This window comes from Homo sapiens, chromosome 3, assembly GCF_000001405.40.
Source record: "Homo sapiens chromosome 3, GRCh38.p14 Primary Assembly".
Lineage (NCBI taxonomy): Eukaryota > Metazoa > Chordata > Mammalia > Primates > Hominidae > Homo > Homo sapiens.
The window spans coordinates 38795514-38810237 of NC_000003.12; the positions used below are offsets into that span (position 1 = coordinate 38795514).

At 40.1% G+C, this 14724-nt stretch overlaps 1 protein-coding gene across 1 annotated transcript in view, besides 1 other annotated feature; it reads right to left on the reverse strand.

Moving 5' to 3' along the window:
• SCN10A (sodium voltage-gated channel alpha subunit 10) overlaps window positions 1-14724 on the reverse strand; it is a 119411-nt gene that overhangs the window by 98707 nt on the left and 5980 nt on the right. The window lies entirely within an intron of this gene.
• Window positions 9737-11267: an enhancer, noted in NCBI's record as "VISTA enhancer hs2619". NCBI's record gives its function as "enhancer in: midbrain (mesencephalon)[3/12]" and the evidence as "EXISTENCE:transgenic organism evidence [ECO:0001131][PMID:17130149]".

Sequence of the window (14724 nt, forward strand, 5' to 3'; positions counted from 1 at the left end):
AAAATTTTTTTGTAGGCAGTGTACCACTATATTGTCCAGGCCCATCTCAGTTCTTATCTTGATGGTCCTATTGGCTGTTTTGACAATTTCCTCCTTAAAATACTGTATATTTTGGCTACCATGACACTCTCTTGGTTTTCCTAACTTTCTCTCTTCTCCTTCTCAGTCTCTCCTTTCTCAGCTTTTCCCATACATGATTGTGAATAATGGCACTCTATCTTTTGTTTTCAGAATAATAACAATAGTAACAACTTCAACAGCGCTAGCATTTACTGAGATTCCACTGTATTTCAGACTCTGGATTAAGCAATTTTCATGCATTATTACATTAACTATCACTGTACCTGTGAAGTATTATCTCTAATATATAAATAAGATACCAGAGCAGCAAAGTTAAAATTTCCAAGATCACATTACTAATGAGTGGCAGAACGGTACTTAAACTCAGGTATGTTTGCCACAATCTCTTGGAAACATCTCATCATTCCCATATCTTCACTTCTCATTTATATGCAGATGACTGAGTCTTTATCTGTAGCTCTCAGAAGTCCATGGGGCTCAGATCTTCATTTGATCTCTCCACTTCAGTGTCTCATGAGCACCTCAAGCTCAGCATGCCCCAAACTAAACTCATAATTATCTCCTCACTTCTTTCTAATACCTGCCTCTCTTCTATGTCTTTTTACTGCCATTAGCCCCAAATAGCCTGTTTCTGTGTCTGTCCACAACCTGGGTACCATAATTATGCTCTTTCTATTTCATTCCACATACAATCAAACATCTAGTGCTGTTGCTTCTGCCTCCTTAATATCTTCTCTTCATATCTCTCTAACCTCTCCATCATACTGCTGGTCCAATCACTGTCATCTCACTGGCCTCGTATGTGTCATTTTGATTCCCCTTTAGTCCTTTCTAACCTATTCTCCAACAGTGGCCAAATGATATTTCTAAAATGAAAATCTGGTTATGTGATATCTTTATTTAAAATCATTCTAAAGCTCTCCATAGCACTCAAGATAACCCAAACTGTGCGCTGACCTCTCCAGCATGGTAGTCCCCAGCCACACTACTTTTATAAGTTTATCCTTGAATTTGACCCATTCTTTTTTATGTTAAGGCTTTTCCATATTCCCCTTCCTTTGCCTAAAATTATCTTTCCACTTTATTTTGTCTGGCTAATCCTCTCTTATTCTTGTACTCTTGGCTTTGAGACAATTTCTTCCATTTCTGACCTATATGAAGTCTATGTTAGGATTCCTGTTTCATGTTCCCATAACTCTCTGCACTTTCTCTATAAACATCTGATTTGTAATTTCTGTTTGCCTTTCTATTGTTTCTACCAAATTGTAAGCTCAGTGAGAGCTGGACTCACATCTATTTTGTTCAGCATTGATTTTCCAGAACCTAGTACAGTGCCTGGAACTAACTAGATACAGAATAGATAGTTGTTGCATGAATAGAGATAATGGCGAAACTTAATAGCTGAAAAACTAAAGAACATTTTGTTCAGAAAAATGCAGCAAAAATCACAGATCCAATAATAGGAATATAAGGAACCAAAGAGATTATTGAGTCTATTGACATTTTAAAGCTCACACACCCCAAAGTCAAGCAGATGGTGGCAGAGGCAGTGCTTAAATCAAATACCCCTATGATGGAGATCCTGCTTGCTCCCACCATACCTAGAGGTATTTCTTGAATCCAATACCTCTGTGATATAGACACTGCTTATTGTCACCAGCCCTAGAGGCAGCTCTGGTACCCAATACCCATATGTAGGAGGCTCTGCTGGTTGTCACCAGTCCTTCCATGCATTGAAGTCCTGGGAGGAGCACTCACTGCTCTGACACCATTCCTCTTCCTTAATGTCCTCCATTACTTTCTTCTGAGAGCTTTCCCTCACCCTCTTCCTCTCCTCCTGCCTATTTGTAGTTGATCTGTTTCTTACGGAACTTTTCAAAGTCAACCTACATTACATAATTGAACATCTGTCTTCTATTTTCTTCTAACTTAGAAGTTCTATGTGTTGTGTGCCCAAATTCTGATTAACATGGTGTATTTATGCAATGACCATTCAAACACTGTTGACTTCAGTGTCTTTAATTCTTCCCTTCTGAGAAACAAAGATTAAGTTAACTTTCTCTTCCTTGTCTAGGGGAGAAGAGATACTTATAGTTTGGAACCAAATTTGAATCCCAGGACTCAGTTGTTTAGTAACAATGCAAGAATTCTCTCAGTGACACTGGAATGCAATGTTGAGGATTGAGAACAGGACTAAGCCAGAATTCCAGGTCCTGGAGCTGGAGCTTGAGGTCAAAGCAGACTCAGCTATGAGACTGACTTCATGCCAAATGACCATAATTATTCTGGGCTACCATAAATCCCTCCAGCTAAGGACAAAATTGTTTTCAACATTGGGGTGGGAATTTGTAGTGATGTGATGTAGGTATGAGGGACCAGTCCTTCTTTTAAGACTTTCCCATCAGAAGTGATAGCTCTGGACTTGGGATCCCTTGATTGAAGTGGTTCTCTATATTCCCATCTATTACCCAGTGTCTTTACATGACATTCTGAGAAAACTATTGGGGTGCAAGTAGTTTATCTGAGAGCTATTTCTAGGAATGTCATAGAAGAGAGGAAAAGTAACATAAGAAGAAGAAAGCAGTATTTTTATGAGCCATTTACTCTTATGGGCAAACTGGGCTCAGAATTGTTTCACTGAGGGGTAAGGATACTAGGGTTTTATCTACCAGTCCTGTCCCTTATTGGTTGACGGTTGTCCTGGGATTTTAACTCTACAGAACTTACTTCAGTGGCCAGAGAAAGCCCTGGGCAGACAGAGGCAGGAAGTCACATGTAGGAAGTGTCTGCTGGTGACCTCTGGTCTAGATCCCTGGGAAATGAGCAAGGTGCAGATAGTGACGGCTATAGTCCTTGCAACCTTAATTGGGAATCCCTATTTTAGAGTCTAGTTGAATGTAGTGGGGAAAGCACATCCTTTGTGAGGTAGCCATATCAAATGTATGTGTTATAGGATTAGTCTGGGCCTGATACTCACTTCTTGGATTAATGGCTGAGGAGGAGACAATCCAAGAAATATCTATTCTAGTTTAGCTCCAAGCTCGGCCCTGGCTTTCAAACAGTCTGCATGAGTTTTTGCAGGTATATTCCCTTAAGTTTAATAGCTGTTCCTGCTAAGCAAGCCTTTCTATTCGGTGGGCATTCAGCCCTCCCAAGATGAACCAACAGCGATATTTGGTTCCCCTTGCCTCCTTTTTTTTTTTTTTTTTTTTTGAGACAAGTTCTCACTCTGTTGTCCAGGCTGGAGTGCAGTGGCACAATCACAGCTCATTGCAGCCTTGACCTCCCATGTTCAAGTGATCCTCCCACCTCAGCCTCCCAAGTAGTGGAACTACAGGTATGTGCCACCACGCCTGGCTAATCTTCATATTTTTGATGGGGTTTTTCCATGTTCCCCAGGCTGGTCTCAAACTCCTGGGCTCAAGCAATCTTCCCACCTCAGCCTCCCAAAGTGCTAGGATTCTGGCATGAGCCACTGTGCCCAGCCCCTTTTGCCTTCTTAATATCAGGTGGGAGGGGTTCTTTCTCTATTGTTCTTCTCTAAAGATCCCATGTCTCCCAGAACCTGTAGGATCTCTGAATACTAACCTGAGTGATGGCAGAACAGATTAGCTATAGGGCCAATGCTTTCCTTCCCTCTCTGGCCCCAGATCCTGAGGGCCAGACCCAGGCCTACAGAAATTCCTCTCACAGGCAGTCCCCCATCACTCACATTGACTGATCAGTTATAGGGGTATTGGCTCAGAGCCTTCAGAGAGGACTGTCTAACCTTGCATTTTCCCCAATGTGTTCTGCAGAATTTGTAAACAAGTGTCCTCTGGGAAAAATAATGTAGGTAAAATTTTCCCCTTTGTAATACATTTGTTGAAAAGTATAGAAGACACTAACATGTTTTATTGTTCTTTTTATTATGTAATGGTATGCTTTTAAGAAGTGACAGCCAATCTTGAACGTGGCAGGGAGATAGAGGAGAAGTCCCAGCTCCTTGAATACATGGCTGTACTTGCTAATTGAGAACGTGCTTCTGCCTGATGCTCTACAGTTTGGCAGCATAATTGCAGTTTTTTATTCTTAATAAAACAAATTATTTAATTTCCCTAATTGGTTACTTTTGCTTCTCATATAAAGTTTTTCTTTAAAAAAATCATATGATTAAGGTTTTGATAATTTTTTCAGGTGATTTATTCATGGAACCATGTTGGCTGTGTTACTTTACTTCAAGTGTGTCTTGCATCTCCTGAGGGCCAACTGATGACTTAACAGTGCATGATGATTTTAAAATTGTTCGCTGGTCCTATAAGCTTGCAAAATCTTGTCCTAAGATATGTTCTCTAATGCTTCCAGAAAGGGTCTCTGGGATCCCTGGTCCATCATGGTCCAGGCAACCCCTAAAAGGCAGTCCATTGACTTTCTAAGTTCTTTATGGGTTACACTATTCTCAGAAAGTTTGTCAGCCCTAGAGCTAGTCTGGAGGTAAACAGGATGGTTTGCCATCACAGATGGGTAAAGCAGTATCTATGTGGATTTTTTTCTGCTTGCTTTAGAGAAGCTAGAACCAAAGCTCCTACAACAGACATTGATGTTCTTAGTTCTCTGCAGTAACCACTGGCTTTGTGGATAACAGCTCTTCCAGCTTCTCTAGTACAGTGAACTTCACATGCCAGTCCACAGTCTGGTGCTGAGCTAGCTGTGTCACCATCACAGGGGAGAATTGGACTAAGATGCAGATTCCTGGACTCCACCTGAAAAGATTCTCAGTCAGTAGGTCTGAGGTGAGGCCCAGGGGGCCCCATTTTTAACAGACTCATAACTGAAGCTTCCAAAGGTGTTGTCCCTTTGAGAAGCACTGAAATTCTCTGCAACTGTGAGGTGAAACAGGACAAGGTTATAGAATCTGGTGAAGCCATGATCTACTCCCACAGTCTTAGGGCCTGGATGAAAATCTTTCTGGATTTTGGAGGTCAGAAGCCAGTATTAGGGAGTTTTGGAAAAAGAGACCTGGCACCAAGTGGCAGGTATTCTTATTCGTTCTAGGAAACTCTGACTCCCCAGAGGTTTTTTTGGGGCAGTCCTTAGGACTTCCTGCCTTTTGTTGTCAGAATCAGGGCAACTCCTGGCCAGGAACTTCAGGAAGCTTACATCCAGGGAATGAGAACAGAGTGGAATTTGGTTATTTCTGAGGATCAAGTTTCTGTAGATATTTACCCTGTTTTTGAGATTTCTGGGCTACAAGAGGACCCACTGGGTCTCTTCTTCATAGGCTATAGTAGCACCTTGACTTGAATTTCTGAGATCTGATGAGTGAGCAGTTTCTAAGAAGAAGACTAAATGTGATTGAACAGATAACAGGTGTTTCACATTTGCCATTTCGATAGTGATGGAAATAGCTATGGTTGGTCTTTGATTAAGACCTATGTTCTGGGAGAACCAGCTGACTCAGAGCTGCTTGGTAGAGGCTGGTGTGAATAAGGGTGACAGTGAGGGTCTCCCTGAGATTACAGTGGGCAAGGCAAGACAGAGGGTTCTTCCGACCAGATTTTGTAGATCTTAGCAGGATGTTTCTCTGATTACACAACAATCATAAACTCGCTATCTCCTGAGTGTGTGCTAATTGAGTCTGATCACAGAAATGACTAAGCCTCATGAGGTGAATTACTCAAATCCTCGATTCACAACAGTAACAACAGCACCTCATTATGTACAGTGAGTTTACAAAGTGCTTCTGCATAATTATCCCTTTTTGTCTCCACAGAAATCCTGTACAGTAGGTCAAAGGCATTCTCTTAAATAAGAGAAAACTAAGAACCAATGAAGGTCTGTGCTTACTGTGATATAAAGATGTTAATTGGACTGAACAAGCTTATCTCTGAGTCTTTTGATTCCAGATTCAGAGCTTTACAATCTCTGGGGCAGGTCTGGCTGACTACAGCAGGTCTGGAATGCTACTGATTGGGGCACCATTGGAGAGTTCTGGGACTTGAGAGAGGCAGCAACTGATCTGAATGTGTTCAGATTTGGTGAGATTTCAAGGGGCCTCTGAGAACAGCCTTTTTGTCCTGTAACTCACTGAGGTCTTAAGAACCCAATAGAGGTCTTTCCCTACTAATGTAGCATTTGACTCTGTATAGTAGATATGATGTGGATAAACAGGTAATTATAGTTTTTCCAGAACTTAATTAGTAAGCAAAAGTGTAAGATTTTACCTGTGTAGGATTGTACCTTCTCATACTTCCCGTGGTTGCTCTTATCTACTTATATACAACTACGGTTAGCATTTTCATGTAGGTGACTCCAAAATCTAGACCTTTCTTCTGAGTTCCAGTCATGCTAACCCACTGTCTTTGGACATATCCCCTTTAATGCTCCATAAACACCTCAAAATCATTGTCTTCCATGATCTCATCATCTTCCTCCACCAAAATCAAGCTTCTCTCCCCTCTGTGTTCCCTATCTCAATAAACTTCATAGCCATTTTTCCAAGATAGAAACTTAGGAGTCTTCCTTTATGCTTCCTCAAATCTTCCTCCCTTGTGCCAGACACTTTTTTACACTCTGGAGATATAGCAGTACACGAACTATAGGTCCATAACCTTTGGGAGCTTAAATATAGCTCTGGGCCTCAGTCAACTAATCTGGCCAGCTTCCCAGACCCTTACTTTTCAGAGGAGAAAAGGGCTGAAGTTATGAAGACAACCTAAGTAGTCTGTGGCCACATTTGAAACATTAAATTTATATCTCTAGCCCAAGTCTTTCACTTGCATTCCAAATTCTTGTATTCAGCCGTCTATTCATCACCTTCCACCCAGATGTCTGACAGAAGTATAAAGTGAAATTATAATATTTAACTCCCAATATACTGTTTCCTTAGCCTTCTCCCGTTTTAACACATTGTAACTTCATTATTCTAGTAACTTAGGTCCCAAGCCTTAAAACTTTTTAATTACCCATTATTGAAAGGAGTCTCTATTTAATAAATGTTGCTGGGAAAACAGGCTAGCCATATGTAGAAAGCTGAAACTGGATCCCTTCCTTACACTTTATACAAAAATTAATTCTAGATGGATTAAATACTTAAATGTTAGACCTAAAACCATAAAAATCCTAGAAGAAAACCTAGGCAATACCATTTAGGACATAGGCATGGGCAAGGACTTCATGTCTAAAACACCAAAAGCAATGGCAACAAAAGCCAAAATTGACAAATGGGATCTAATTAAACTAAAGAGCTTCTGCACAGCAAAAGAAACTACCATCAGAGTGAACAGGCAACCTACAGAATGGGAGAAAATTTTTGCAATCTACTCATCTGATAAAGGGCTAATATCCAGAATCTACAAAGAACTCCAACAAATTTACAAGAAAAAAACAAACAACCCCATCAAAAAGTGGGCAAAGGATATGAACAGATACTTCTCAAAAGAAGACATTTATGCAGCAAACAGGCACATGAAAAAATGCTCATCATCACTGGCCATCAGAGAAATGCAAATCAAAACCACAATGAGATATCATCTCATGCCAGTTAGAATGGCAATCATTAAAAAGTCAGGAAAAAACAGGTGCTGGAGAGGATGTGGAGAAATAGGAAAAATTTTACACTGTTGGTGGGACTGTAAACTAGTTCAACCATTGTGGAAGACAGTGTGGCAATTCCTCAAGGATCTAAAACTAGAAATACCATTTGACCCAGGCATCCCATTACTGGGTATATACCCAAAGGATTATAAATCATGCTGCTATAAAGACACATGCACACATATGTTTATTGCAGCACTATTCACAATAGCAAAGACTTGGAACCAACCCAAATGTCCAACAATGATAGACTGGATTAAGAAAATGTGGCACATATACACCACAGAATACTATGCAGCCATAAAAAAGGATGATTTCATGTCCTTTGTAGGGACATGGATGAAGCTGGAAACCATCATTCTCAGCAAACTATCGCAAGGACAAAAAACCAAACACTGCATGTTCTCACTCATAGGTGGGAATTGAAAAATGAGAACACATGGACACAGGAAGGGGAACATCACACACTGGGCCTGTCGTGAGGTGGGGGGAGGGGGGAGGGATAGCATTAGGAGATATACCTAATGTAAATGACGAGTTAATGGGTGCAGCACACCAACATGACGCATGTATACATATGTAACAAACCTGCACATTGTGCGCATGTACCCTAGAACTTAAAGTATATAAAAAAAACAAAACCTTTTAAATTACCCATTACTTCTCTCCCTCAAATCTCACATCCAGTCTCTCAGAAAACTCTGATTCTGAAGTATAGCTGTCTAATTCTCATCACAGCCACTGCTAACCATGTAGCCCAAGCCACTATCACCCACTTCCATTGCTGCTGCCACAGTCCAATCCACCATCAGCTCTTGATTGGACTGCTATTATATCTTCTTAACTTATCTCACTGCTAGCATTCTCTCAACCACTTGAAGCCTATAGTTTCTGTAGCAATCAGAATGGCACTTTTGAAATATACCCTGTAGTGTGTTCCCATAACTTCATCTCTGAACTCACTTCATATAATTCTCTTGCTTGTTCATTGGAACCGAGTCTCACAGACTTCCCTGGCTGTTTCTTGAACACACCAAGCACAATATTGCCTCTGTTTTTCAACTTGTTCTTTTCTCTGCTCATATTCTCTTCATGTTTATAATTACATAGCTCATTCAACTATTACCTTGCTAAAGAAGACTCCCCGACCATCCTTTCCCAAACAGCAGCCCCTGGCCACTTTGTACTCCTTTAACTCTCTCTTCATTTTTCTTCATAACACTTTTACGACCTAATAGTTTACATTTTTGTTCATTATTTATCTCCTTCAGCTAGAATGTTTTCCCCATGAAAGCATAGATTTTGTCTATTTGCTTAGCTGTTGAACCCCAAACACTGAGAATAATGTTTAGTACATTTTAGGTAATCAACAGTTATTTGTTGAATAAATAAATATTCAAGAAATCTGGATGGGTATGTATCAGATATTTATAAAAAGAGCTTTTCACCTGACACCGAAATTGAGTTTAGGGAACACAGGGAAGAGGAAGCACATGTAGCTGAATTGTGAGTCCAGGGTGGATAGAAACTGACCATAATCCAGGTTACTGAAAAGACAAGTGTCTTATGTTCAATAACAACTTACTAAAATCCACCAAGATCTGGATAAAAGTCGTTCTCCAAAGTGAGAGGGGAACAATAAAGGCTGAAACCAGGAGGGTTGTGGGGGCGGAATGGCACTGAATATTACAAAGATGCGGTAGCCAAAAATGAAGGAGAAGAAAAAGGATATGTCAGTGTCATAGAAACAGCAGAAAGAAAAGTTTCAAGAACTGCTGAGTCTTGTTCTAGTTGTGGGAATGATTTTAGTCATGTAGACTCAGAGGGAGTGTGAATAAGTACCGTGGAGTGGAGAGGATGTGACTAGATTTCTCAATTGCTGGAAGAGGGTGTTTGGGATATTGTTGTGACTGCAAACATGACTAAGCTAATTATAAGAGATACCAAAAGAACAGGCCATGATAATGAACTGTTTCAGGTTCATTATCTGCATGGTATGACTTAGCTGCTTGGCAGAATAAGGAGCATATTGTAAGGATGTTACTAGGACTGAGAATGTGGTTGGACCTTTCATAGCACTGGGTGAAAGTGTGACTGAGCTGGTGCTGAGAAATACTAACTGAACTACTGTTATGTCTGAGTGAAACTGTGTTATGCATGGTGCTGAGAGTGTGATTAGGTTCTCTAATACATGGAACAAATAACCAAGCTAGCTTTAGCACTGAAGATATTGCTGGGCTCTCCATGGCAACGTGAGCATGAGATTAAATGTCCCTGGTTTTGCAGATGTGACCAGACTGGTCAAGACTTTAAGAAGATTGTCTCCAAGATGTAAGCATTTCATACAGCCAGTGATACTGATATGTGTCAAGCTAAGCTGTCCATTGCCTCAAAAATTTTAATCTTTAGACATCTGATGGGAGCAACAGGACACCGGACATATGAGTAAGCTGTCTAGGAAAGATATAGCATTTGAAATAGATAAGCCACTAAGAAAGTGTGATAAGCTGTTTGTGGTGACGAAAGTGAGACCAGACCTCACTCTACATGATCCTGCCCAGTCCTTCGAGACCTAGTCTCAGCAATCTGTGACACTGGAAAAATAGCACTTAGCTACCTTTGAAGTTGAATAATCCTGAGTTGCCTCTGATAACAAAGAATGGGGTTAGGGAAATCCTTGCTTAACTGAATCACCTATGAATGATCTCAGAGATAATAGCTAGGTAATCTGTTGTTGGAGCAGGACCAAAGTAATTTACAGGGCGGACGAAAGTGCGTGCGCTATCCATGGTTCTGAAATAGCTAGTGAGCGCCTAGTCTGGATTTGAGCTGACCGTGGTACTGAACAAGAGAGGAAGGAATGGGTGAGAGCTGAATGGGACTGGCTTTCTGTGGGGCTTGGTGAATGATTGATCTGTTTGTAGTGCTGAATGAGAGTGTCAGGCTGAAATGCTGAGAATAGGTGCATTTATATTGGTGCTAAAAGGGAAGAAGAGCGTAATTCAAGAAAGAAAGCTGGAGTTTGGAGAAGAAAGTGCCTAATAGGGCACTTAAAACAGCTCTGCCCACCAGAATGGAGATCCAAACGAAGATGAGGAGGATAAATCTTAACTTCTCCTGAGTCTTTACCTCCGTATCATCTCTTCCAACCCATTGAGAATGGGATCAGAAAGAAGGAATAAATTTTTGTGTCAAAGGAAGAAAAGAAGTTCCTTATCACATGATCTGAAAGTGTTGTGAACCAAAAAACTCAGGATGGTGGATTGAGTCAGCTACAGAAACCTTGAGTTATAATAATTTTAAAAAACCAGAGAGATAGTGTGGTTTTGTTGAAATAGCCACTGGACTCGAAGACAGGAAGCATGAGTTCTGATGCTATCTGGGTCTTTTGAATTCTTTGACCCTCATTTCTGTAATTTGTAAACTGGAGATGATTACCTCGGCCCTACTTATCTGACACTGTAGGAAAATCAAATAATGTATATGGAAGCATTATGTAAGGTAAATTATAGACAAATGCATAATATAGACCTTAATATTTCCATTACATATGTGATTTAATAGCCAATAGCCACTTAGCCTATTTCAATTCCACACCACTAGCTCTCAGTGTATAAACAAAACAAACATGTGAGATCATTTGCAATTAAATTAAATTAAATATAAAGAATTTACAATGTTCCACTTTATTTAGTTTGTAAATACTTTTGAATATGGTTCAGCTGCCCCAAATAAAAGTTTTCTCATTTGTACAATGAGGGGATTGGTCTGGGTGTATAATCCCTTCTATCTTGACAAGAAGCCGTGTTCCTTTCTCCTATTTCGAATTTCCCCTTTACCCCAAATTTTCGTCCTATTATATCCTTAACAGATATCACAGGATTCCTTTCGAATTCTTGGAGGAAGAGGCCTGGAAAACAGTGTGAGTTCTTACAGTTTTTAAAGCTGTGGATTAATATTACCAGTTATATTTAAGTAAGCCAAATATTTTTAAGGATGAAGTATAGTTTTGATTCAGGAAGAATACTAAAGTCACTAATGTAGATAATTATTTGCCATTTATAAAGTTTTGGTGGACAGTAGAATTTGGGTAATCAATTTAATAACTGATTAAGGTTTTCTAGGGATGCTGAGGTCACAGGTTTAATTAGGTGATGTAATGTCACAAAGGTCATACATGAAAAATACATCAATGCATGTTTTTGCACTTCAAAGCACTGTAATATGTCTCTCCCAGTTTTCTTTACCAAAGCTTTTGCTAAGATGCAAATGACCTCCAGGCTGACAATTCCAGATAAACTTTTATACTTCTACTGACTTGACGTCCCAGCAGGATTTGACATGACTGGCCGCTCTATTTTTCTTGAAATCCTCTCTCTGTTCCATATGAGGCTTCACTGAAGGCTTCTACATACTGGAGGTCATTAAATATCAGAACTTCTTGGGATTCTGTCCTAGTCCTCTTTTATATCCCCTTGCATCAAAGTATAATCTCCTCTCATGGTCTTAACTCCCAGTCAAACCTCTTTTCTGTTCCAGACCTGACTATCCACCTGTTCTTTCTGGGTATCTCTCCCCTATAAATTGGTTGCTTCTTTTATATTCCCTATTTAGTTAAACAGCACCATCAAGCACGCAGTTGCTCACATCATAAACATGTAGACTCTCCCTCTCCCCACCTCTTCACATGTGCGCCAACCACCAAGTCACAACCATTTCTTATCTGGTCTCTTACCAGAGACTTGCTCATTAACTGGTCTCTCCCATATTCTTTTTTGCCTACTTTCATAGCAACCAACATAATCTTTTAAAACTGCAAATCTGATCATATCACTTCTCTGATGATACCTTTCAAAGGCTTCTCAACCTCTTTGGGTTTAGACATTCACATTCACCCCGTGTGAATGTCTTTCATTCATTCACATGGCACATAAGGCCTGGCATGATCTGGTCCCTGCCCATCACCTCCTTGTACATCACCCTTTTCCTTGTTTCCCCCCTAGTAGTTACCCTGGTCTTCTTTCACTTACTAAAACCCACCAGCTTGCTTTCTGCTTTGGTCTTTTCACACATGCTTTTTTCTCTCTCTCTCAGCAATGCTTTTGTCCTTCTTTCCCCTGGGTGACTTCTTTCTTCTTTCAGTTTAGTTAAGTGTCAGTTTTTCAGAACAACCATTCCTGACTGTCTGAACTGGACAAGTTTTCTTTGTTATTCATTTGCATAGGAACCAGTATTTCCTGGAGGCCATTTATTTTGATAATTATCTGTTCAATGTCTCTGTTCCTATGTTAGAAAGTAAGCTTCCTGAGCCACAGACCATGTTCATATCTTCCTCTGCTGTATCCTCAGCATCTAAAACAATGTGACACATGTAAGTGTTTGATAAATATTTGTGGAGTGAAAGAACAAATGAATGAATGATGATGGCTTTCTCAGAGACAGACTACTTTAGAGAATCGTCATGAATGTGCACTGTGACTGATAAGTTTAGAATTTCTGCTGTCAGTGTGCCTAGTTTGACCTTAGAATTAAAGAGATTGTTCCCATGCCCCAAAGACGCTGAGGATGACTGGCCTTCTCTTGTGAAGAAAGAGGAGCTTGATGCTGAAATATCAAGGCAAGAAAACTAAAATGGGGCAATGACTGAAGGGAAACTCAGTGACATTTATTAAGAAGGAGTCATTGGAATGCAGTGAAAAGAACTATGATTTGTAAATGAGGGGTTCTGGGGTTAGGTAGCCCTGGATGTTCTGCCAACTTGCTTTCTGATGTTGGACGTGTTTTTGTTGTTGTTGTTTTTGTCTTTGAGAGGCAGTTACTACACAGGAAGATGAAGAAGTGCTCTGAGGTGACCTCTGCAAACTCTGGTGCTTTATGAACCTGGAAATAATGTTATGGCTCTGATTCATTCTGATTATGATCTTGTGAGAAAACTAAGACTTTGTCATATTAGAGGCCAGGCAGGTTCCATGCAGACAGGTTGACTTTGCAGTAGCAAACATCAGGACTGGGTTGGATCACACACCTGGCAGAAGTATTTCTCCCAAATGTGATTGGTCTGTTTAGTTGCTTTCTGAATGCAACTTTTGGAGGAATTAGAAGACTACTCTTCATAGACACTTTGTTCTTGACTTCCTAGAAAATGAGAAACAACAGATCTGTGTGTTCTTGACTTCAATCAAATGTGGACATGGCCTTGAGTTTTTAAGATTCAGGGGCTTCTCTCTTGAAACTGTCATAGCCTGGAAGTGCCAGCGGAGCTGCAGGAGGTTATGGGGTTAGATGGCAAGACAGCTCTTTCTCATTCTGTTGAATATTTTAAAATGCTTTCATTATCAGTAGTTGCCAATAGCCTACTGTGTATTTATCACAATTAGGTGCTGTGGAAGATGATGTGGTGTAGTGGGAAAAGCAATGGGTTAGTGGTTAGTAGACTTGAGTCCCAGACACAGGTCTGTAATAAACCCCATGTTCAGTCTTTGGGCATCTTCTCTTCTGGATCTTAGTTTTCTCATTTGTACAATGAGAGGATTGGTCTAGGTGTATAATGAGGCCCTTCTATCTTGACAAGAAGCCGTGTTCCTTATTTTCGAGGCCTCTGAGTCTACTCAGGGAGAAAAGAAGCCCTAGCAACAAGGAAATCATAATAAAAATAAATAAGGGCTATATTATATGGTTCCAACCATGGAATTTTAAGTAATAAAGATAAGTGACTCAAGGTATTAAAGAAGGGATGGATCAACCTAGATTAGAGAAGCTAGTGAAGGCTTCCTAGGAAGCTGTAGGTAGAGTGTTTTTATGACTGTGTTTGTCACAATATGAATGCCACATACACATTGCACTCTGGGCTTTGGGACACTGAAAAATACACAAATACATGCCCAGACTGAAGTTCCCCACTGGGAACTTGGTTGAACACCTACCAAAAGCATGAGCCCCTGCTCATAAAGCAACTGTATGGTTGTTAATCTTCTTAAACATTAATTATTTCAGAGCCAAAGTGTTTATCATGAACAATAATCCCCCTTTTTTCTCTAAGTTTCTAAAGAAAAAATACGCAAATTATAA